Source organism: Homo sapiens, chromosome 2 (assembly GCF_000001405.40).
Source record: "Homo sapiens chromosome 2, GRCh38.p14 Primary Assembly".
NCBI lineage: Eukaryota > Metazoa > Chordata > Mammalia > Primates > Hominidae > Homo > Homo sapiens.
In genome coordinates this window covers 54,110,209-54,135,811 of record NC_000002.12, presented here as the reverse complement: position 1 = coordinate 54,135,811, position 25,603 = coordinate 54,110,209, and the positions used below count along the sequence as shown (strand labels likewise).

General features: G+C 40.1%; 1 protein-coding gene across 6 annotated transcripts in view, besides 2 other annotated features; it reads right to left on the bottom strand.

The window, feature by feature from the left end:
- ACYP2 (acylphosphatase 2) overlaps positions 1–25,603 on the bottom strand; it is a 334,188-nt gene that overhangs the window by 169,489 nt on the left and 139,096 nt on the right. For 3 of the 6 annotated variants that reach the window (NM_001320589.2, NM_138448.4, NM_001320590.2), the window contains exons 1-2: positions 20,056–20,197; positions 343–359 (exon numbers count right to left, since the gene is read on the bottom strand). In NM_001320589.2, coding sequence (NP_001307518.1) covers positions 343–359; positions 20,056–20,113 — 75 coding nt within the window. In that variant the 5' untranslated portion in view covers positions 20,114–20,197. Of the gene's footprint in view, positions 1–342; positions 360–12,401; positions 12,530–20,055; positions 20,198–25,603 lie in introns of those variants that run through there. The other 3 variants (NM_001320586.2, NM_001320587.2, NM_001320588.2) reach the window with 2 other exon arrangements.
- Positions 19,749–19,808: a silencer, noted in NCBI's record as "silent region_11486". NCBI's record gives its function as "represses an Ori minimal core promoter by ATAC-STARR-seq in GM12878 lymphoblastoid cells {active_cell/tissue: GM12878}" and the evidence as "EXISTENCE:reporter gene assay evidence [ECO:0000049][PMID:35858748]".
- Positions 20,299–20,368: a silencer, noted in NCBI's record as "silent region_11485". NCBI's record gives its function as "represses an Ori minimal core promoter by ATAC-STARR-seq in GM12878 lymphoblastoid cells {active_cell/tissue: GM12878}" and the evidence as "EXISTENCE:reporter gene assay evidence [ECO:0000049][PMID:35858748]".

Sequence of the window (25,603 nt, the reverse complement as noted above, 5' to 3'; positions counted from 1 at the left end):
CATATGTACCGTTGCCTAGAGGATTTCTTCCATCCAGAACATGTAGAAAGTCCCATACTTTGTATTCAATACACCTAATCAAAGCGTTTCATTAAAATCACCCAAAGAGAGGTACTTTTGAATATAGAAAATGTTAAGTAAATACTAAGAAGGGTACAATGTTTTTAGCATTAATAAAAATCTCAATCAGTAATTTCAAAGAAATACATATATTTCTTCATTTGCTGTCAAGGACAGGGAGTAAACAGTAGACTAGCGCCAAGTAGAAAACTGCCCTATCTCTGTAATTGGGAATAACAGTGGAAAAAAAATAGCAAAATAATAAAGATTGTACTGACTTACCATTCTGAAGCAAACACCTGTATAAAAGAAAGATAAAAAGAATTGTCAGCTTGTCCTCCTTTAAAAGGTTATATGTTTCCTGACTTAACTTTTATCTAGGTGGTCCCCATTTATCCTTGGTTTCACCTTCTGCAGTTTCACTTAATCCTCCATCAACTGTGGTCCTACAATATTAAATTTAAAATTCCAGAAATAAACAATTCATAAGTTTTAAATTGAATGCCTTTCTGAGTAGCATAGTGAAATCTCATGCTGTCCCACCCATGAATTATCCCTTTGTCCAGCAGATCCACACTGTAGACACTCTCTTGGTTATCAGATCGACTGACTTGGTGGTACTGCAGTGCTTGTGTTCGAGTAACCCTTATTTTACTTAATGATGAACCCCGAAGCACGAGAGTAGTGATGCTGGCAAATGCGCCAAAGAGAAACCATAAAGTGCTTCCTCTAAGTGAAAAGGTGAAAGTTCTCGACTTGATAAGGAAAGAAAAACATTGTATGCTGACGCTGCTAAGATCTAAAGTAAAAACAATCTTCTGTCCATGAAACTGTGAAGAAGGAAGAAGAAATTTGTGTTAGTTTTGCTGTTATACCTCAAATTGTAAAAGTTATGGCCACAGTGTATGATAAATGCTTAGCATATCGAGGGTTCTACACTATCCACAGTTTCAGGCATACACTGGGGTTCCTGGACTGCATCCCGACCCAAGAACAAGGGGGAACCCCTGTATTTATTAAGTGGTAAGTAAATGAAATAAATAAAATGTTTACTCTGAATATATTTAGAAAGTGTTTTTGAAAATTAGTTTCTTTTAAAATGAAAAGAGAAAAGGAAGACTTTTTGGAGAAAAATAGTAATATTCTGCTGAATCCAAATAAATAAAATGCTGAAGCACATATTTATTCTATTTTTAAATGCTAAATAAAACAAAATAGTTATTACAGGTACAGTTGAGTATACTTGGCATAAAATTTAGCTGTCCTCAACTTTTAAGATATCTTCTTAAAATGTAAGGACTAAATACAAATTTAAATGTAATAAAACATTTGTGTATTTTATTTCTAGTTATAGAACCAATGAAACTTATGAAATGATATGCTTGACCATAACTTGGCTTCTGAAGCCTCAGTTCTTTATTTATTTATTTATTTATTTACTTACTTATTTATTTATTTTAGAGACAGGGTCTTGCTCTGCACCCAGGCTGGAATACAGTGATGCAATCGTAGCTCACTGCCCCCTCAAACTCCTGGGCTCAAGGGATCTTCCTGCCTCGCCTCCTGAGTAGCTAGGACTCCAGGCATGAGCCACTGTCCCTAGCTCTGAAGCCTAAGTACTAATGGAAACTAACTGAAATGGAAATGATTCTTAGAATCTCTATAGTGTAGATTACATTATGTTAATACTTTGAACCATGTAGGCTGGGAAGTATCATTGGTCTTGGTTATGTTTTCCCTATCTAGACCATGATAAGCTGTTCTATATTGGCCAACTATGATGGTATCCTATACTTTGCTTACCCAGCCTGCAAAACTATAGGAGTCTCATCTCAGACAGAGGTCAAGAATACTATGGGACTTCATACCTTGGGTGGTCTAGAACCAAATATTGATACATAGAGAACTGGGCCCTAGAGTGGGGGTGACACAAGAGACAGGCTGGTTCCAAATTATCAGGGATATGTATTTATGGTATGGGACCCCTTTAGTGAAAGGGAAGGCCTTCTTACATCTCTCCTGGGAATTGCAGCAATGACCCTAAATAACAGATCTCAAGTCAGTCCTTCAAATTGCAACTTGGAAAACTCTTGATCCAAAAGGATGAATTAGAACAGGCTTCTTTGGTATAGATATGCCCCACATCTGGGCTCCTACTTGAGAGTTGGTTAAAATAGGCCTAAGTAAAGAAACATCAGGAATGTATCAGGTGCAGAAATTCAGAGCTTATTAGTACCTATTGCAACTTAGTTTTTATTTCTACCTAGAACACATGGTAAATTTGGAAATTTACTTTTTCGTACTCAAAAGCCAAATGACAGAAAAAAAAAGTGCTTAAATTTAGAGGAGAGGATATAGCAATTAAAAAACATTGGGAATAGATAAACAACTGTGGTAGATCCACACAACGGAATAGCATGCAGCTGCAGCAATAAAAAGGAATGAACCAGGGATACAAGCAACAACACGTATGAATCACAAATGCATTATGCTAAGTAAGAGAGGCCAGACTCACACATACTGTGTAACTCCACTTTCTGGAAAAGGCAAACTATAAGGACAGAAAACTGATTGTCAGTTGCCAAGGGCCAGGAGTAGAGGGGAGAGTGCTACAATGGGGGGTGAAGAACTTCGGGGTGATGGGACTGTTCTATATCTCAGTTGTGGTGAGGATTACATGACTGTATGCATTTGTTAAAAATTCATTGGGCCGGGTGTGGTGGCTCACACCTGTAATCCCAGCACTTTGGGAGGCCAAGGCGGGTGGATCACCTGAGGTCAGGAGTTCAAGACCAGCCTGACCAATATGGTGAAATCCCATCTCAAGAAAAATACAAAAATTAGCTGGGCATAATGGTGGGTGCCTGTAATCCTAGCTACTTGGGAGGCTGAGGCAGGAGAATCACTTGAGCCTGGGAGGCGGAGGTTTCGGTGAGCCAAGATCATGCCATTGCACTCCAGCCTGGGCAACAGAGCGAGACTCAGTCTCAAAAAAAAAAAAAAAAAATCATTCAATTGTACACTATAAAAGGTGAATGTTGCTGAATTTATATTCTATCTCAATTGAAAAATAATACATTGGGAAAAAATACACTGGGAAGTCACAGCGGATGGATCAATCTCCAAAGAGTCCAAAAGGTATTGATTCTACATACAGCAGTTAAGCCTGGTTAAGAGGATACAGAAGAAAGCATCAGTAGCTTAGATATTTTATGCAGTTTTGTAAGCAGATTTATAGTTTCCTGATGGTAGTATACTGTGGTACCCAACAAGTATGAAGGAAAAAAAAGCAGCAAAGCAATGAAGACAGGATAGTATCACAAATGGAGTTTTTATAGGGCTATAAAAATATTTCAAGAGATAGATGTTCAATGTGGAGGAATGATGAGTGGGACATATTGATCTGAAAGAGAATCAGAAAGGCAATCTGTTATATAGATGGAGGGGAAGACATTAGCTGGTAGATATAAAAGGAATTAGCAGAAAATTCCAGAAACTTCAGGTCAACCAGACCAGGTAGGAGAGAGATAAAACAGGAGAGAAGACAAGCTGCACTGTGCAGGCAAAAGTGTGCGTCTTTTTATCATAAGGGTAAGGGGATCCCAGAACACAGTAAGACACTGACCAAGTAAGTAGACTGAAAGTTTTGGTCTAGGTTGTATTGTGTATATTCCCCTCTGAGTTCCTCAACCGCTAACAGGCCAGAATATTAGCGTTATGAAAAGAGAAAGCACTTGCAATGGCAGTAAACAGAAATTAGAAACACGTAGTCCATCTCTTTCCTATTTAAAGAGTAGTCCATGAAACAGCAGCACCTGAGAGTTTTTTTCAGAAAATAAAATTCTTGGGCCCCTCCTCCAAGGAACAGAAATGCTACAGGTGGAGCCCAGTAATCTGTTTTCACATGCTTTCCAGGCAATTCTTATGCCCACTAAAGTTTAGAAGCAATGGCTGACTCCCCCTTAAAGAAAGGTCTGGGAGAGATTTGAAAAGAGTTTATATTTCAGGTAAGAATTGCATCAAAAGGAGAAAATTAAAATCTCGTAGGGTACCACAGATCTGATGCACGCTCCATCACACTGTTCAAGTTGGTGTTGGTAATAACTCATGTATTTGCATGTCATTGTTGCCTCACCTTTTTTTCACAAGTCAGACGAATTACATGGAAAAAACCATGCATGATAAAAAGGCAACTCTCCCCTCCTGCACCCTAAAGGGACCTGACATTGGCACAGCCTAGGCAGCCTGTCACGTAGATTTCTCCCTCCATCTGTACCACTTACTAGTAGAAATACTGGAGCTGCCCAAAGAGGGAAACTGACAACATGCCCCTCAGTGAAGAGCAACGTCCTTTCAACATTTACGAATCTCGAGCAGCCCTTCCACCATCTATTCATTGATGATGACAAAGACCATTAGCCTATGGTGATGGGGTTTGAGAAAATTTTTAAAGTGGAATCAAACACAGATATTCCACTATGTGTTGCAGTGTTAAGGAAATTACCTGCTCCAATCTATTGATGTAATATTTTATTCACACTAACATAATCTAAGAATGAGGTAACTCAGGTAAATCTAATAGGCACACAGTTAAACATTGATTATTGACTTAACAAACATTTTTCAATTGTCTAATTTTAAGTGCAAAGAATGAGATGAGTAAGACACAGTCCCTGCATCTAAGAGTTTACAATCTAGTGGGAAAGATGGACAAGTAAACTGGCAATTAAATATGGCAATTAAAATAATGGACAATTTGGAGCTGTAAAATCCATAAGCCTAGATATAAATTAGAGTTCATAAGACAGCTACATGACAGACAATCACTCTTGGGTGATTTTAGGGCTGGCTTGTTGAAAAACAGGTCTTAGAGCTGAGACTTCAATGATGAGCAAAAATTAGTATGATGAGAGTAGAACATTACAGATAGGAGAGCATGCTCAAAGGCCCGAGGTTTGAGATCAGGGCATATCTGGATACCACGCATAGTTAAATATTCAAACCCATGCATTGTACTCATTTTCTAAATTATTTCTAGGCCCCAGTCGTTACTGAAGATTTACTGAAAAATAGTTTAATTCTGTTCCAACTGTGTCTAGAAGAATGGGTGATAATGTTTATATACTTAAAGTTACCATAATCTTTCAACTCATCTACTACAAGAACCTCCTTAACTAGCCTCCCTGCTTCCAATTCTGCCCCCCTTACAGTGTATTCTCCATAAAGCACCCAACATGGTTTCCTTTTCTTAACTAAAAATCAAAGCATTTCCTTCCCCAGCTTAAAAGCCCACAGGGGCTCCCACTACACTGGAAATGAAATGTATTCTGGTTGCCACAGCCCCCTAATTCCTCTACCTCATATCCTACTTCTCTCCTCTTTACTCACCCCATTCCAGCCAGATATGCCTCCTTTGGCCCCTTAAAGATGCCAAGCCCCCTAGCCTTTGTACTGACTATTCCTTCTGCCTGAATCCTCTTCCCCCTGATATTCTCATTACTGGCTCCTTCCCATTATTTATCCCTCCATACAAATGTCACCTCCTTAAAGAAATATTCCCCAACAAATTTATCTAAAACAGCAATGCACCCCATGTTTCTTGCACATACATTGTTTACTTTTTGATTTCCTATCTTTATAGTAGATTGTCAGTTCCATAAGAACAGGAATTTTTCTGTCTTGTTTACTTACCACTGTGTCCCCAACACCTAGACCAGAGCTTGGCACATGGTTGTTGAATAAATGAATTTTTAAAAACCAGCTGATAAATATTTATGTGAAATATTTAACTATCCTATAATAATTTATCATATAAATTTTTATATATCTTTATTATATATGTATTATACATTTATAATATAATATCATTAATAATATTAACATATTGATTATATATTATATTTATTGTTAATGTATATTGTGAATATACATATAATCATATTTATTAGACTTTAAGTTTACTTTCAAAGTGATGATGCTCAATTTACTGCATTCAAAGTTCTGGAAAGAATCTCAAGAATTCTATGTTGATTCTAGTAGAACTTTACACAGTGATAATATATAATGACTGAATATATAATACACATATATATGTAGACATACATGCTTAATGCTCACATATATCTCCATAGTACATATCTATTATATATAATAGATAGTATATATACTATAATAGATAGCAAGAAGTTACTAATAATGCCTAAATTGACATTATGCATATACATAACATTAGGCATATACATAGTATTAGTGCCAATCATAATCTTGAATGCTATAATCCTAAATGTTGAAATCCTGAAAGATCAAAATCCCTAAAGTCAGCCAGGTGTGGTGACTTACACCTGTAAGCCCAGCATTTTGGGAGGCTGAGGCAGGAGGATTGATTGAGCCCAGGAGTTCGAGATCAGCCTGGGCAACAAAGCAAGACTTCATTTCTGAAAGAAAAATAAAAATTTTAATTAAAAATCTCTAAAGTCTAAAATCCCTAATGATTAAAATCCTGAAAATCACAATCCTGAAAGATTAAAATTCTGAATGATAAAATCTAGAAAGCCTAATTCTGGGGATACGATTAGTACCTGTTTGGTTGTGTGCATAATATTTGCATCATGTTAGCTGCATCATGTTAAACAGAACTATTACCTTGTTATTGTCTTTATTTGGAAGTGAATTATGGTTTAAGGAGACACATATGGGTGCCAAATTGACCAGGGCTGGATTTGTGGACTTAATTTTAGGTGTCAATTTGACCGGATTAAGGAATACCTAGAAACCTGATAAAGCATTATTTTGGGTGTGTCTGTAAGGGTGTTTCCAGAGATTACTGTGAGTCTGAGTAGACCAAGTGGGTAAGATCTGCCCTCAGTGTTTTGAGTGTTTCAGAGAAGTGAAAATGCAGGCAAAAGATACAAGAAATCTCCCCTGCCAAATTATTCAATTGTGTATGACTTCCGCATCTTCACACATAGTACCACGCTTGCCCTAAAAAAAAAATCCTTCCTTTGTGCCAACTGAATTTTTTTTAAAAAAGGGGGGAAAAGGAAAAAAAATAACCTTCATCGGAGAATAAAAGGAATTTTTTTAAAGAGATGGGGTCTCACTCTGTTGCCCAGGCTGGAGTGCAGTGGTGTGATCATAGCTCACTATGGTCTCAAACTCTTGGCCTTAACCAATTCTCTCACCTCAACATTCCAAGTAGCTAGAACTACAGGTGCACACCACCACGTCTGGATAGTTTTAAAATTTTTGTAGAGATGGAGTCTGACTATGCTGCTCAGGCTAGTCTCAAACTTCTGGCTTCACTCAATCCAACTGCCTCAGCCTCCCAAAGCACTGGGATTACAAGCATGAGCCACTACCTCCAGCCAAAAAAAAAATGGAATTTGAAAAGCTCAGTGAACTTCTGAATGAAAGGCACTTGCTGATACAGAGGTTCCTCCAGTGATACAAAACACGTTAAATGATGAACTATTCTTGATCAGGGATCTGTCCATCAAAGAAGATAGACTTCTATTTATTAAACCACCCAATCTAACAAAGAAAAACCAGTGCATGCTTCAGTTTGGCTAATGTGTGGCACTTTCAAAACCATCCCCACCATTTTTTGCCAATTGCATATGATTCATCCCCCTGTTGGATCTCAAAATTCTAGAACTTATCCACTCATTTATGTATGAATGACTGGACAAAAGGGAAGCACTTTATAAAACACTTATTTGAAGATTTGGTGGATGTTGCAAAAGAAAATGGATTCAACTGAATCCCCAAATCATAATGACAGATTAGGTGCAACAAAGCTTCTGAAAGTGAATTTCAAGATGTCACTAACAAAGTTTATTTTTTCCATTCAGTCTGATGCATTTAGTGGAAAACTTAGATGAGTCGATTGGCCATGAGATATGGCAATGATGAAAACTTCAATTTAAAAATGTGTCATTTGTCTGCATTGGCTTTCCTTCCAGGTGATGAAATTCCAGAAGCTTTTTTTTTTTTTTTTTTTTTGAGACAGTCTCGCTCTGTTGCCCAGGCTGCAGTGGAGTGGCATGGTGTGATCTCGGCTCATTGCAACCTCCGCCTCCCAGGTTCAAGCGATTCTCCGGCCTCAGCCTCTAGAGTAACTGGGACTACAGGTGCATGCCACCACACCGGGCTAATTTTTTGTATTTTTGTAATTTTTGTGTTTTTAGTAGAGATGGGGTTTCACTATGTTAGCCAGGATGGTCTCAATCTCCTGACCTCATGATCCACCCACTTTGGCCTCCCAAAGTGCTGGGATTACAGGTGTGAGTCACTGCGCCCAGCCCAGCTTTTAATGGATTGAATCTGCATTTGCCTGAAGAAACCAGCAAAGTTACTGACTGGTTTAAAAATAATTATGTGCATGGTAGGATTACAAGACATATAACGGTGTTGTTGTTTGATCACAAGTATAGTCTGCACTAAATTTGTAGTCTGTATATGAGTGCATGCAGAATGAATTTCCATGTATGCAAAACATAGAAGCATAGCACTGAAGATGGAAAACCTTAATAGGGGATGATTATGTCAGTGTATATCAAATCATAGAAGAATTTCAAAAAGAGCAGTGCCATGTAGAATACGGATGTAAATGTATTTTCCAAAAAGAGCCATGTCCAAAAAAAAAAAAAAAAAGCAGCTATTCATCATGAAGGAAGACTTCAAAATATAGATAATGATTGTGAAAAGTTGGCCAATTCTTATGGACTACCTCCATGCAACTGCCTATAATCTTTCACTGTAATATACTTTTTTGCATGTCAATTTTTTTTTTTTTTTTGAGACGGAGTTTCGCTCTTGTCACCCAGGCTGGAGTGCAGTTGCACAATCTCGGCTCACTGCAACCTCCACCTCCCGGGTCCAACTTATTCTCCTGCCTCACCCTCCCGGGTAGCTGGGATTACAGGCACATGCACACCACCACACCTGGCTAATTTTTTGCATTTTTTAGTAGAGACAGGGTTTTACCATGTTGGGCAGGCTGGTCTCAAACTCCTGACCTCAGGTGATCCGCCCGCCTAGGCCTCCCAAAGTTCTGGGATTACAGGCGTGAGCCACTGCACCCGGCCAGAAGCATAAACTTTGTAAAGAGTTTTAGAGTTCTAATTTGTTTTATGCTTTTTTTTTTTTTTTTTTTGCAAATTTGACTCTATGAGTGTGTCACCACAACGCTGACTTAGTATTGTGTATGTATGTAAAAAATGTTGAAACTTCCTTAATGAATGAAGAGATGTCCTTTTTGTATACGTACATTTGTGAAAGATAAAATTTCTTGACATCCTGGCTTTTTGAGTGACTGCATATACAGTGGTGATCCGTCACAATTTTTGATCAATCTCATCAAAAGACTTAGGTTGTCCATCAAGGTATGTCAGATGACCAGTTACAAAACTGGTTGCACAGAATTACCAACTATAGTGATATGCATTTATATATTTTGCTTTTAGACCTACTTCCTTATGAATATAGTTCATCTTCTCGTAACTGTTACACCTATGTGACTGTCATCAGTACACCTCAGTGTGTACAGTCACAAAAATACATACGTTATTATTACCTATCTTCTTCTGCAAACTGGCCTATGAAGTTTCCGTTGTGTTTTTAAATGTTTCTCAAATAAATCTCCTTTTTATTTTTATTTATTTATTTTTTTTGAGTCGGAGTCTCTCTCTGTCGCCCAGGCTGGAGTGCAGTGGTGCAATCTCCGCTCACTGCAACCTCCTTCTCCCAGGTTCAAGCAATTCTTCCGCCTCAACCTCCCGAGTAGCTGGGATTATAGGCGTGCACCACCATGCCCAGCTAATTTTTGTATTTTTAGTAGAAACCAGGTTTCTCCATGTTGGTCAGGCTGGTCTTGAATGCCTGACCTCAAGTGATTGCCCACCTCGGCCCCCCAAAGTGCTGGGATTACAGGCGTGAGCCACTGTGCCCAGCCTGAATCCCCTTTTTAATATGTTTAAAAACTAGTTTTGTTTTTGTTTTTTGAGACATAGTCTCGTTCTTGTTCCCCAGGCTGGAGTGCAATGGCACGATCTCGGCTCACTGCAACCTCCACCTCCCAGGTTCAAGCAATTCTCCTGCCTCAGCCTCCTGAGTAGCTGGGATTACAGGCGCCTGCCACCATCTCCAGCTAAGTTTTGTATTTTTAGTAGAGACAGGGTTTCACCATGTTGGCCAGGCTGGTCTCAAACTCCTGACCTCTGGTTATCTGCTCGCCTCGGCCTCCCAAAGTGCTGGGATTACAGGTATGAACCACCGTGCCTGGCCAAAAATTAGTATTTTAAATACTCTTTGAATGATTTTTTCCAGATTATATTTTTGGGATTTTTGATCTTTCAGAACTGTGATTTGGGGGATTTTAGACTTTAAGGATTTTGATGTTTTGGAATTTCAACATGCAAGATTATGGCGTTTGGAATTGTATCTTTCAGGATTATGGCCCAAACACACATAGTATATACATAACAAAAGACATAAAAACCACAAGACTTTAAAAATAAATGGTCAAATTGGTTGTTTTATAGAATATACAGGATTTGGGGTTGGAAACTGGAGCAGGATATGGTAGCTGTTGCTTTTTATCACCAGCTTTTCTATACTGTTTTGAGTTTTTTTTTTTAAATCCATGTGCATATGTTAATTTGGTTTAAATTTTCAAAGTTTTAAATTTAAAAGCATTTGGGGCAGGGCATGGTGGCTCATGCCTGTAATCCCAGCACTTTGGGAAGACAAGGCAGATGAATTGCTTGAGTCCAGAGTTCAAGACCAGCCTGGGCAACATGGTGAAACCCCATCTCTACAAAAAATATGAATACAAAACGTAGCTGGGCATGACAGTACATGCCTCTAGTTAGCACATGCGTCTTAGATAGCACATGATAGCACTTGCCTCTAGTCCCAGCTATTAGGGAGGATAGAGTGGGGGAGGATCAATTGAGCCTGTGAGGTCGAGATTGCAGTGAGCTGTGATCACACTGCTGCACTCTAGCCTGGGTGACAGAGCAAGACTCTGTTTCAAACAAATAAAAAAACAAATAAAAGCATTTTTAACTATGAATGGTAACAATACACACATGCATTTATTAAATCTTAAAACAGTAAGTTTGAGGCACAATTTTTGGTTAAATTCATACTTCTTGACAAACTGGGTGGATAATAAAAGTGTCACCCATTGCTTAAGGCAGTAATAGATGGAAATAAACAAGGCTGAAATAAATCATATAGAAAAGATTCAATATGGGCTGGGCGTGGTGGCTCACACCTGTAATCCCAGCACTTTGGGAGGCCGAGGAGGGTGGATCACCTGAGATCGGGAGTTCAAGACCAGCCTGACCAACATGGAGAAACCCCGTCTCTACTAAAAATACAAAAAATTAGCCAGGCGTGGTGGCACATGCCTATAATCCCAGCTACACAGGAGGCTGAGGCAGGATAATCACTTGAACCTGGTAGGCGGAGGTTGCGGTGAGCCCACATCGCGCCATTGCACTCCAGCCTGGGCAACAAGAATGAAACTCTGTCTCAAAAAAAAAAAAAAAGATTCAATATGAACTTAATAGAAATTTAGGTTGTTTTTGGTTACGGAGCCAGTGTTTTGAAGGAGAGGTTATGGACACAAGATCACAATCTTTTTGTAATGTGTCCTTTTGTGTCACTACTTGGGAAAAAAACATCAAATGTAATAATTGTTTAGAAGTGTATTTAATATATGAACGACTGTGACAGGCACAGCTAGTTGCATACCCCAAATCCATTCTCCCATTCTTCCCTTCTAACAGAACTCTGATTTTACTTGGGGCAGCAATGTGCCAGTTGATGTTTCCCAGACTTCCTTATAGTGGGGATGGCCAATGAAATGTAAGCCGTATCACTGGTTGGGACTTTCAAGACAGCTCTTCAACAGGGGCTGACTTGGCTGGGAGTTAGTGGTTTCTCCATGTCGGGGTATTGCACTGGTACCCTTTTTTCTCCTAATCATGGTATGAATATTATGATTGGAGCTAAGCAGCAATCTTGAAATCTTGAGGGAGAGGCCAAGGACATCAGAGACTTTGTCCCTGACTTCCCTGAGGCACTTTAACATGCCAGGGGATGGAGGAAGAAGTGGGGAATGGGGGAATGAGGTGGGGAATGGGAAGCAGCTGGTAAAGGGAAGGAGGGGTGATGGAAATGTTCTGGAATTAATGGTAATGCTGCAAAACATTGTGAATATACTAAAAACTACTGTATATTTAGTGTTATGTAAATTATATCTCAATTTTGTTAATGCCACACACACAAAAAAAGGAAAGCAGAAAACAGGACTATGATGTAGTCCTTCCTACCTCTATTTGTAGAACAAGGGCAGTCATTCTCCAATTTTGCTTACCGTACAACCTCCCTGACTTTTTCCTATCACTCCATACCAAAACAACTGCAGTGAAGATCCTCTTGAAGTACGGCAAGTAGAACTAAATGACTGAGCTCTCTCTAGATTTTATAACTTATTTCTGCAGGAGAAAGCATCTTTCTCTCTAGCGGAAATTCCTTCTGTGAGGAGGCGTATCATTAGTGTGTCATTCCTGGCTACTTTCTACCCTGCCCTTGTCACAGGGACATGCAGTGACTCATCTACTGGGTAAATTTAGAAGGAGAAACATGCACAGCCCAGGCATGTCCTCTTCTTCCTCCCGCTGGGAGCAAGTTACCCACAGGGATCATACTTCTGGCTCTACCCTAGAGTAGCCTCCCTGTGCCTGAAGTTTGGGGTGGCCACTGTTTAATTCTGTAGTACAGGTCATTATAAAGTCCACTTACCTGCAGATAGACATCACATTCCTAAAACTCCGCTTTACTCTTTGTCTTGACAGTAACTCACACAATGAAGATAGGTGTTATTTGTTGGGCCCCTCAAACTACAACTCTTATTTTAAAGCCTTGGGAGGAAGGTGAGCCAAGGAGTCTCAAGACTTCTAGCCCATTAACTCTGCAAGGCACTGAACCATGCAGGAATCAACTGCTCAAAGTTTCATAAGCCACCAGGAATTTTCCCAGAATCTTTCTGAGAGTCCTGATTCCTAGTATGAAGCATACTGCACAACAGATAGATATCTATATAGAAAGAAAAGGTAGATGTGGAGACATTTTTCTGCACTTTATCAGTGTTGGCTGGAACACAGCCCTCTTGGGACAGGGCTTCTGTAGGAGATTTATCTATGGGCTTTCGTGGCCTCCCCATACTTTTTCCACCTCACTTGCTGAAGAGAAGGAAAGCTGATATGACACATGCAGGTTTTTTACAGACACTCTGCTCTGGAAACTGGGGCAGACATCAGCCCTTTTGGTGATAAAAGACTCCAGCACGATATGCTGCTCAGTCAAGGTCCAGTCCACTACAACTGTACCTCACTTTGTGGAAAGAGGTGTCAGTGAGAAACCCTGAGAGGAATGTTTGCAAAGTAAATCATACTTTGAATTGACAAACACACACTGATATTTAAAGAAACCTGTGATGAGTTTTAAATGTCAACACCTTTTCATGTAAAATCCTATTTTTTATATTGTAACCTACCATTTCATCCTGGGATCTGACTGCATGTGTCAATTTTGAATGCAGGAAGTGATCTATATGCTGCCTTACAAAGCAGCCCTTAATGACTGTAAATATCTTTAATTGTTACAAAGCTTTCCTTATGTGGAATAAAATTCTGCCTTACTTAACCTTTCACCATCAGTCCAGGTTCTGTTCCCTGGAGCCATACACCACGGCATCTTTCAAACAGTTAAAACAGCCATCACACTACAATTTCTTCTCCAAGCCAGATATCCCCAAATACTTCAATTTAATTCAGTTCACTTTTGAAGGACCCACTAGAGGCGTAGCCGTGTAGGGGATATGAAAACAAGCCACCAGCCTGACCTTCAAAATACTGTCATTATTTTCTAGTGAGAGACACATACAAGTGTACACAGATAACTGTAGCTGAAAGCAGAATGATTAAAAGGATAAACACAAAGTATAACTACTATAAATAAAATACTATAAGAACAAAGACAGGAGAGGGAATTAGAGTTAACCATATTTATGTTTCTTGACTTTAATGGTGGTACTTAATATTTTCAACCTCTAAAACACAGCTTTTCCATTTACTTGTCTATGTAAGAAAAATGTGTACTTCTAAATCATGCATTATCTGACAAAGCCATTTAATAATTCATCCCAGTTTTCATTTTAAGCAATATTTAAGAAATATGGTATTCATCTCAGTTATAGCAGTAGGAAACAGACAAATTCCTCGGTAGACAGGGACAGGTCTCCGGTGAAACCAGACCTTCAAGTGAAACCTGAAACCGAGTTGCCAGTTCCAGGTGGAGTCCACAACCAGAGTGAGAACTTCCTCGATGCCTTTTAGCCAACTGAATGGTGCTTTTTCCAGGCCCACCCATGGAACAATTAGCATACACCCCATTCTGAGCCCATAAAAACCCCAGACTCAGCCTTACAGATGGCTATCCACTTTCAGGCCCCCTCTCACACAGAGGGCTACCCACTTCGGGTCCCCTCTCTTTATCGAGAGCTTTTCTGTCAGTCAATAAAATTCTTCTCTGCCTTGTTCACTCTCCAGTGTCCGCGTACCTCATTCCTCTTGGTCATGGGACAAGAGCGAATGGCAGGTGCAAAAAGAGCTGTAACATATGCTCATGCTCGCCGAGCTATAGGAGTGAAAAAACCATTGTGTGCCAACATGCCCCCATTTGCTGAGCTGCAGGCAGCAGGACCCAATGAGTTGTGACACGCTCCCATTCACTGAAGCTGCAGACAGCAGAAATGAACGACAGTGTAACACTTTCTGGAGGCTCAGGCCTCAGGACTCCCCAAGCAAAAGCTGTAACACACCTTGGGGCTCTGTGGTTGCTGGCATCTCCAAGTTATTGGGCACTGCCACATCCCCCTCATCCAGACACCAGCATCCAAGGTAGAAGTTGGTCACGGCACCCCTGGACCAGCTGCGGGCTGACCACAGAGCCAAGGCAAGCGCAGGATCCAGACCAGTAGCACAGCCTGAGCGCAGTCTGCTGGGCCAAGTGGGCAGAGTAAGCCCAGTGGGCCCAAGCAAAGCCTGGGCAGAGGTGCCACTAGCCGTGGAGATTTCTGGCTGGCAAAGTGGCACTGAAAGAATTCTGTGTCATCAGTAGTCAAATAAGCTACTCTTATTCTAAAAAAACTCAGTCAAAAAAAAATTCTAAGCACATGTATACCAACAGATAGTCACAATGCATTTCTAGGAGTGTCATTAGTATTCCCCTGAGAGCTGGTAAAGCATCAAAGCATCTATACACAGCATAATCAATTTCCCTTTCAAATTTTCAGATTATATTATTCTAGATGTAAATATAATTAAACATCTATAGAAACATTATAAACCAGGCCACAGTTACAAACACTCTAAAAGCACAGGGGCTCAGTCCCCAGCTCTCTTAACCCTCTCCCAAAGTCCTTGATGCAAGGGAAGTTGATGGGGAAAAAACGTGGAGCTCCTTGAGAATGTGAAGATTTTTTAAAGTACAGGATGAAAAGAGAGAGAGAAAAAAAAGAGTAACTTTAGAGTGGAGAAACCAGACAAACACTATCACAGCCAGGTGATCAAGGTTAACATCAACAGTGATAAGTCAGATTGACAGTATATACCCTTGATAGGTGTGACAAGAGCAGCACTTCACCTCTGTGGTCTTCCTTCCAATACCCCATTATCCCAGTCTTATCATAACAAAAATATCAGACAAATCCCAATTGGGGAGCATTCTACAAAGTACTTGACCTCAAAGTACTCCTTAAAACTGCCAACGTCATCGACAACAAGGTAAGTCTAACAGAATGTCACAGCCTCAAGGAGCCTGAGGAGGCAAGGGGGCTAAATGTATCTGGATGGGATCCTGGAACCAAAAAAAAGACATTAGGTAAAAACTAAGGAAACCTTGAAAAAAGTAAGGACTTTAGTTCATAATAATGTATCCATATTGGCTTAAACCAGTTGTACGGTCCCTATACTAACAACACATCATTTTTGGTTGGAAAACGTTTTCTGCAATAAACTCAAGCAAGCCAATTTAATTCATTGATCAATTTTCCATACAGGAGGGTTAAAACATTTTCCATTTTTTCCATGTTCACTTTCATGTCATTGAAACAATTTTCACTGGGAATAGTTTCCACTCAAATATTTTAATGATGACTTTATCAATCCGTATTTTGTCCATAATAAATGTTCCCAATTATAGGTTCTTCCATTGCGAATTTACTTTCATAGCCATTATTTCTAACAAGACAGTTTTCACTAAAATTTTATTATTCCATACTTTATTTATTTTATTGTTTCTTTAGAGACAGTCTCACTCTGTTGCCCAGGCTAGTGGCTCATGCTTATAAGGCCAGAACTTTGTGAGGCCGAGGTGGGAGGCTTGCTTGAGGCCAGGAGTTCAAAACCAGCCTAGTCAACATAGTGAGACTCCCTCTCTACCAAGGAAAAATTAAAAAGTTAGCTGGGCATGGTGACTCATGCCTGTAGTCCCAACTACTCAAGAGGAGGCTGAGGCAGGAAGATCATATGAGCCCAGGAGCTCAAGGCTGCAGTGAGCTATGATCTTGCCCGGGTGACATAATGAGACCCTGTTAAAAAAAAAAAAAAAAAAAAAAAAAAAAAAAAGACTACTAAGATTCAAATCCCACTTCTTAACTTGTGTATAACTGGGAAAGAAGTTACTTCCCCACGCCTCAATGTCTCCATCTGTTAAATGAGAAAAACCATTGCAGTTACAGGGATGAGGATTAAATGAGACAATATATGTAAAATGTTGAGTACAGAGCTTGGCACATTCTAAATTGTCAGGGAATGTCAATGTAGATGTATGTAAATATGTGATGGTGAGTTTGTACTACATACTATGCCTTGATCAATAGTGGGCATGTACTCTCTTCCATTTAGCATACTGCAAACTATAGGAATTATTGCCCTAAAGTTGACTTTTTAAACCCCACTATTTATGTATAGTACGTTTCTCTTTTCCATATTTTTACTGCTGGTCCAAATTGATTATATACCGTGTTACCACTATGTGCACAAAAGTGGAATTGTATAGTTAATAGAAATATATAATGTAATAGCAGATAACATCTTATAATGGGAAAGCACAACTTTTAAAGTCAGAGAGATGTAGAATCAAATCCCATTTGTCAACTAAGGGCTTGTCCAAGTTACTGAATCTCTGTGCACCTGTTTTGTCCTTGTTAAAACAGGAATAAGACATGCATCTCACAAAATTGTGATGATTAAGTAAACAACAGTGAAATGCTCAGCACAAAGAACACCCATAATAAATGTCACACATTCACACACACACACAGACTCCTTCACTACTGCCATTTGTCTCTAGTGGACCATTCTGTCAGGTGATCTTTGCCACCACTTTCGTATTTTACATTACGTGTTTTGGTGACTTATTGTGGCAGTTTTCAAAGCAGGATAACATACCGCTGGGTTCACTCAAAGACTTTCTAAAGAGTACAGATCCATGCATAATGTTCAGGGAATCAATTTCCAGATCTTCAACTTCCACATATATTCCTTCCTAAAACTGACCTGAGACTCCTTTCCTACCTCCCTTTGCACAATCATCCTTTGAAAGAAAGGTCTCCTGTTATCCTAAGTGAAGTAACTCATGAATGGAAAACTAAACATTCTATGTTCTCACTTCTAAGTGGGAGCTAAGCTATAAGGATGCAAAGGCATAAAAGAATGATACAATGGATTCTGGGGAGTCAGGGGGGAAAGGGTAGGACGGGGTGAGGGACAAAAGGCTACACATTGGGTACAGTGTAAACTGCTTGGGTGATGGATGCACCAAAATCTCAGAAATCACCAGTAATGAACTTATTCATGTAATCAAACACCACCTGTTCTCCAAAGACCTATAGGAAATAAAAATAAAATTAAATTAAAAAAAGATCTCTTTACAAAAGGCACACTTTTACCCATTCTTAATCTTACCCTGGTACACTGCACCAAAGTGTAAAAACCTCTAGAGTACCAAATACAAGGATAATTCAACTCTTCCACCAACCGAGGTTCCATAAACACCCCCAGTCTTCTCATTAATAAATTTCTGGCTGAGTGCAGTGGCTCACGCCTGTAATCCCATCACTTTGGGAGGCGAAGTGCAGGAGGATCCCTTGAAGCCAGGATTTCGAGACTTGCCTGGGCAACAGAGACCCTTTCTCTACAAAAAAATTTTAAAAATTAGTCATGCATGGTGGCATGAGCCTGTAGTCCCAGCTGCTTAGAAGGCTGAGGCAGAAGATCACTTGAGCCCAGGAGTTCCAGGCTGCAGTGAGCTATGATTGTGCCATTGCACTTGCTCCAGTCTGGGTGACAGAGCAAGACTCCATCTCTTAAAAAAATAAAATTAAAAAAATAAACTTCTAACACAAATTTACCTTTAAATTTTAATAATGTTTATCATACTTTTTATATTTTCATCTAGTGTTCTAATAATAATTTCAATAATAACTCCATCCAGACAAAAAATTTAATACTTGGAGCTGTTGAATACAATGAGTTCTAAATTTCTCTTCAAAGAATCAGTATGTCAGTATGCTCGGTTCTTTGCGCTCTAAAGTCTAGCTTCCTCGTTCTCCTCGCCTCTAGTTTCAGTAAACAACCTTTTCCACCAGTTCTAATCAGTAGTTCACCTCTATTCCTCTGGTCACCTGCTCCATCCTGAGTCACCCCTGGTCACCTGCTCTGACCTGAATCATCCTGAGTCACCTGTTCTGTAACCACCCTTCCTGCCAAATTATTCACCCCGCCACTTGAGCTCGTACGCCTGCTCTTTAAAATAGCCAGTCGGAATTAGCTTAGACTGTGCGGTCCAACCCTAGCCAGTAGGGGAAAGACACAGCAGTAGAGGCTACCTGCATCAGGAATAAGAACCCCTTCCCCTCCCCTGTTCAGGTGTGCCGTTGCCATTGCTTCATCCGCGAGTCGCACCCTTCTATAGAGGTAAAATTGCCTTGCTGAGAAAATTCTTTGAGCGCTAGTTCTTCTTTTTGGCACCAAAGAACCAGCATTTGTTTCTAAGAGAGCCTTATTGTCAAAGGAAATTAAGAAAAAGCATTACACTTATTCATACATGTGCATATATGTACATATACATATTGCAGAAAAGTATGATAGGGTGAGCAAAAAAAAAAAAAAAACCCTCAAGCAAAACAATGGGGTAATTCGGTGGGAAAAGTGAAATGAAAATCAAATTCAAAGAGGAAAAGAAATGAGTAAAATTTCCCATTGTTGAAGAGTTTTATTTTAAATGAAGATGGTGGATGTTAAATCACTACCCTATTTATATTCCATTGCATAAATCTCAGAGTGACTTAATATTTTCATTTATAAATATCAATATTTTCAACAAGCCAGACATTACAAACTTGGCAACTACTTAAACTTAGGATGAAACAAAAATTAGATAACAATTTCATTCTTTTAAGAGCTACAAAGAGGTCTAAAAAAAGGTTTGACCTCTGAAAAATTAACCTTAAACCATCTAAGTGTCCTTCCTAAAACTCAAGTCAAGCCCAGGTAGCTTCAGTGGCAAGCAACGAGACCACTAGTTAAAAGACCCTCTTCTTTTCCTACCCAACTTCAACATTCCCCCGTGCCGCTTACTCCCGCACCCAGCAGCCGCCCACTTCTGGTCCTCAGCAGTCCCCTGACCCCTCCTCTCCCGCTCCCCCACTTCCCTCCCCATTCCCGTACTTCCGCCCGTCCAAGTCCTCGGGCGCATGCGCGTTTCGCCTCCCTCCCCGCCGCCGCTGCTGTGTCATGGCGGAGCGGAAGTCCCAGCCACAACGGGAAAAGGCATACTTTAGGTGGGAGGCGCTTCTCACAGCTTTCTCCCCTTCCTCCCATAACCTTTTTGATCTCCCACCGTAGAGGGGCCTCCTACCCTGCACTCTTCCGAACACCTCGTAGTCCACGGATTTGAGTGACTGGGCGGTAGACATGGCGGCGGCGAGCCCTCTGTTGAGGAGCCGGAGAGGGGCTCGGGGCGCAGCGACTGCGGCGGCTGCGAGAGGGAGGGGACACATGGGACTGCTTGGCGCACCCCGCGCCTGTCACCGGTCCCGGACGCTAGCGCGCCGGGGTCACGCGTCGGAAGCGGCAAATGAGACTGCGGGGCCTGGGAGCGAGGGCAGCCGGGGACGCCAGGAGGGAAGAGGCCGCTGGGCCCCAGGCATCCTAGGCCTCTCTTCCCGGACTGGGGAGGATGCTGTCTCCACAGCGCTCCCTACCATTTAATTGATCAAGGTACTCTGTTCTCAAAGTTAGTAAATAAAAGCCGGATGCTGTGCCCAAAAAAAGAGTGGCTTCCCCCAGCTTTATTAAAGTGTAATTGACAAATAAAAGTTGGGTATATTTGTGGTGTACAAGGTGATGTTTTGACATATGTATGCATTGTGAAATGATTACATCAATGAAATTAACGTATCCATTGCACCATTTTTTAATGAAGAGAACATTTAAGATCTACTCTCATCAATTTTTAAGGACACAATACATTTATCGCAGTCACCATGTTAGACAACAGATCTTCAGAACTTATTATTCACACTAACTGAAACTTTGTACCCTTTGACCAATATCTCCCCATTTCCAACCCCTTTCATCCCCCATCCCAGGTCCCCCACCCCACTCCATCCCAGCAAGATTGGCTTTTGAAATCAAGGGCCTGCGTGTTTAGTGTTTTGAGAGTTAGTAAATTATTTATGAAATGTTTAGGTGACTACCAAGCCAGCTTTTAAGATAAGGTCTGCAACATCTTGAGCTCTTCTGTACAGTCAGGAAGGAATTGAGCCTGAACTCGTATTCTAAACGGATTGTGATATTTTCTGGGATAAGAAACTTTTTAAAAATATGAAGTCTTTTATGCTAGTGGAAACAGACAAAAGAAAAACACTGTAGTCATCTTGTCTGCTGTTCATACAGTTTTTTTGGTGTGGGTTTGTTGCTGTTGTTTTGAGACGGAGTTTCGCTCTTGTCTCCCAGACTGGAGTGCAGTAGTGCAATCTCAGCTCACAGCAGCCTCCACCTCCCAGGTTCAAGAAATTGTCCTGCCTCAGCCTTCCAAGTAGCTGGGATTACAGGCATGCGCCACCTCACCCAGCTAATTTTTGTATTTTTAGTGGAGACGGGGTTTCACCATGTTGTCCAGGCTAGTCTCAAACTCCTGACCTCAGGTGATCCACCTGCCTCGGCCTCCCAAAGTGCTGGGATTACAGGTGTGAGCCACCACACCCGACCTTTTTTTTTTTTTTTTTTTTTGATTGTCTTGATTATTCTCAGCAACATCCCAATTGCCTAGAAGGTTAAGGCTGAATTTTATTTCCTGGTGAGCTATTACCAAGTTTTAATATAAAACCATCCACCACTCCAAAGGATCTGGATACAGCTATTGATAATCTGCCACCTTCTAGAATTCCAAATCTGTTTACTTGTGAGAATTTGCATTTCTCTATTTGTTGGCCTCAATACCTTGGCATATTTCTCTGCATCTGGCCACACAGTTAAAATAATCCACTGCAATCTGATTCAATATACTGTGCCAATTCTATTAGAGAACACCAAAAATCATCCAAAACTTGGTTAGAATATGGTTAAATCATTTTTAAAGTAAAATATATTCTGGAAATGCTAGTGCAGTTAATTTATGTAGTGAAGGTCTTAGTTTATTGCAGAGACCTCGTAACTTAACTCTTCCATCTCCCAGTTCATTCCATGCAGACTCTAGAATCAACATAAATTTTAAATCATTCTTCTTAATACGTTCAAAATAGAACCTAAGGTCTTCAGCCTCCACTACCTGCTTATGCAAATCCTGCATTTAAACTATAGTCAAGACACTCTCGGTTATTCTGCTCTCTCAGTACAGAGGTTTAAAACAAAGAACCTCTTCTCTTGGGTCTACTCTATCTGGAATGCCTCCCCCTTCTCCAAAATCTTCCTCTATCCCGCTCAGTCATCTCTGCGAGTGGTTACCAGATTTTATCCTAGTTATTTAGTGTGCCTTCCCCACTAGTACAGTCAGCCATCCATATTAGCAGGTTCTGCATCCATAGATTCAACCAACCTCAAACAGAATTTTTTTTTTTAAGTATCTTGGCCTGCACGGTGGCTCACACCTGTAATCCCAACATGTTGGGAGGCCAAGGCTGGCGAACAGCTTGAGCCCAGGAGTTAGAGATGACCAGCCTGGACAATACAGTGAAGCCCCGCCTCTATAAAAAATACAAAAATTACCTGGCTGTGGTGGCCTGTGCCTGTAGTCCCAGCTACTTGGGAGGCTGAGGTGGGAGTAGGATCACTTTTGCCCAGGAGGCAGAGGTTGCAGTGAACCGAGATGGGGCCACTGCACTCCAGCCTGGGTGACAGAGCGAGACCCTGTCTCCAAAAAAAAAAAAAAAAGTCATCTCTACTGAACTCATGCAGACTCTTGTTTCTTGTCATCATTCCCTGAACAATACAGTATAATAGCATTTACATCGCATTAGGTATTTTAAATAATCTAGAGATGACTTAAAACATACAGGACAATATGTGTATGTATGTTTCTATTAGGAACTTGAACATTCCAGGATTTTTATATCCAAGGGGATTCCTGGAACCAATCCCCTGCAGATAACAACGGACAACTATAGCATAGCTTCTAAGTAGTCACTGACTGGGAAGGTTGACATTTTCCTTTTCTTAATCTTTGACTTTTCTCCACATTTACCCAAGAGTACCCCTGCCAATTATTAGGTAGGTTTATTTGAATTTTAGAAGTGCTATAGCAACAATTGACATTTGCTTAGCTGAAAAATTTGCTGTGTCTGCCAGCAGTCTAACATTAGCAAACGGAAATTTTTATGTACCATTTCGGCATGGATTGCCAATAATATGTGATTCTAAGTCTTTAGAAAATGTACGCAAATGTTTCTAATATATGTTTTAAGTAATTATAGTATGAATGCAACTTTTATTCTTCTTTTCCATGTTGTAGTCTTTCCAATGAATATTTTAATAAATCACATTAGGTGGATAAACCACACATTTACCTACTGTGAGTCCCTGTTGTTACATATTCAGGCTGCTTCTCATTTTTCACTACCATAAAAAAGAAAATATTTATGCATGTAGCTTCCTTCCCACATATTTTTAATTGAAGTTGGAATATCAAATCAAGGGTATAAGCATGTATTGTTCTTGATATATATTGCCAAACTGTTTTTCGAAGGGCTGTGCCAATTTAAATATATTACTACCAAGACTGTATATGATTATTTGGCTTTTTATACAAACAAATGTATGCAGGTCCTTCACGTACAATGCATGATTAAATTATATGAAGCTTTGGTTTTGTAACCTGAGCAACAGCTTTGGAATAACTAGGCTTTGTGTTACTACTGGTTGAAATTAAAACCTGTTAATTCCCTTCTTTGAACCCTTTAAGACAATTGGTTTGTGATCTAGGATCATGTTTAAGGTAATACATAGAAAGGGAAAATCCTGCTTATATAATATGACTGTAAAAGATGACCAGGCACCAGAATCTGTAAAATAAGCATAGATAATACACATTTACATGTGTGTATTATCTATATATGACAATAATACATATGATAGATAATACACATCTCTATATGTGTATATCTAATAAGGATAGATAATACACAGAACCTGTGAAATAAGGATAGATAGTACTCTGTGTCCAAATGACATTTGAAGTGAGGAGGTACCGCCTGTAACTCTCAAATTCATCACCACATGGGGTCATTTGAAAGTGATTGCTAGAGTTATTTCTCAGAAATTTGATATTAAGATATGATTGATTTTAAGGACAAGCAAAATTACTTTATCCATCGGCATATTTCTATCCCTGAAATATTTTTGTAATCATTATGTTGAAAGTGCAGGACCCAACATGATACAAATTGTTAACTTCCATTCAATGATTCCCTGTGGAAGGAATACTTTATAGGTAAAATAAATGCTTAATTATTACTAAACTGGATTCAAAATTATTAGACAGCAGACTGTTGGTCAGCTGAGCAAGTAGCTGGTTTCCCAGAAGAGGCTTTAATCTTATTACAAGTTATCAGAAAATTGCTTAAGCGTTCTATCAGCAAAGCAGATTTCTTTCCAGAAGGAGATTCTGTCCCAGGTTTGAACCAATTTTTCTTTGTCACAGTCCAATTTAATATTAAAAAGTCAGAAGGATATGTAACATTAAAGTGTCTTCCCTCTCCCAGCTTGGTACTGAGTATGCTGAAGTGAGGAGAGGGCATGGTTGGTCCCCCCCGCCCTTGCCTTAGTTTCCCCCTACCTAGCTGAAAATGGGAACAAACAAGTACTTTTGAAATCCATTTAGGCTCTCTGGGAATGGTGAATATTCAAAGCTGACTACTTATTTTGCAGGATTCTTTTTGTAGGGACTCAGAGCTTCACCCCACTTGGAATTCTTGACTGCTGCTCCCTTGTTAGGCTATGCCAGTTCTCTCTACAGCCGTATCCCAGCTTCTGTATTAAGTGCCCCATCCCAGCTTCTGTATTAAATGCTACACCTCCAACCTCTTTCTGCTGAAAGAGACTAGCCCCCAGCAAGAAGGCCATCTGGGTGGGATCCATTTTAAACTGACCACAGGACCACATCCCTCCCTCCCATCATATCTAGTTATGGAGGCTCATATCTCTGCCCTACCAGTGATAGAAGTCACAGATTGCTCTGAACTCAACCACCTCTCTTTGCTCTGCTTGGCAGTCATTTTTCAGACATCTCCAGCCACAGCCTTTCCTCTTTCCTTTCCTCAGGTATCGGTCAACGTGTCTTTCTAGCTCCAAGGAGTAAACACCGAGTTCTCAGAGAGGTTTTCTTAAAGACTGTCTCACTGAGCTTGGGGTGATGGGGCGACACCTTGCTTCTCTCTCCCACGGTGGGAGGGAAAAAAGCCACAGTTCCCTACTGCATTTCCCCAAAGAAATACTCTGGATCCTGAGGTGGGTGTTGGACTAAAAATCTTAAAACTCTTTTAAAATGCCCCTTTTGCACAACACAGGGAGTTTAGCACCTCATCTCAAAATGTAGCTATAACTATGGTTTTGTTTTCAGTCCCAGGTCTCAGCTAAAGCAGAGATAAAAGTCCTGTTTTTCAAATCAACAGAATTCAATACATATACCTTGTTTGGATCCTGATTTGAGTACGTAAACTTGAACAAGACATTTTTTAGACCATTGGGGAACTTTGAATGTAGGCTGACTACTAAACATTACAGAATCATCATTAACTTTGTCACTGTGATAACGGCATCGTGGGTATATTCTTTAAAGGCCTTATCTGTTAGAGGCATGTACTGAAATACATAAGGGTACTATGATATAATATTTGGCGCTTGATTTAAAATCCTCAGGGTTGGCAGGTAGGACAGTTTAGATAGAATAAACTTGGAAATGGTGACAG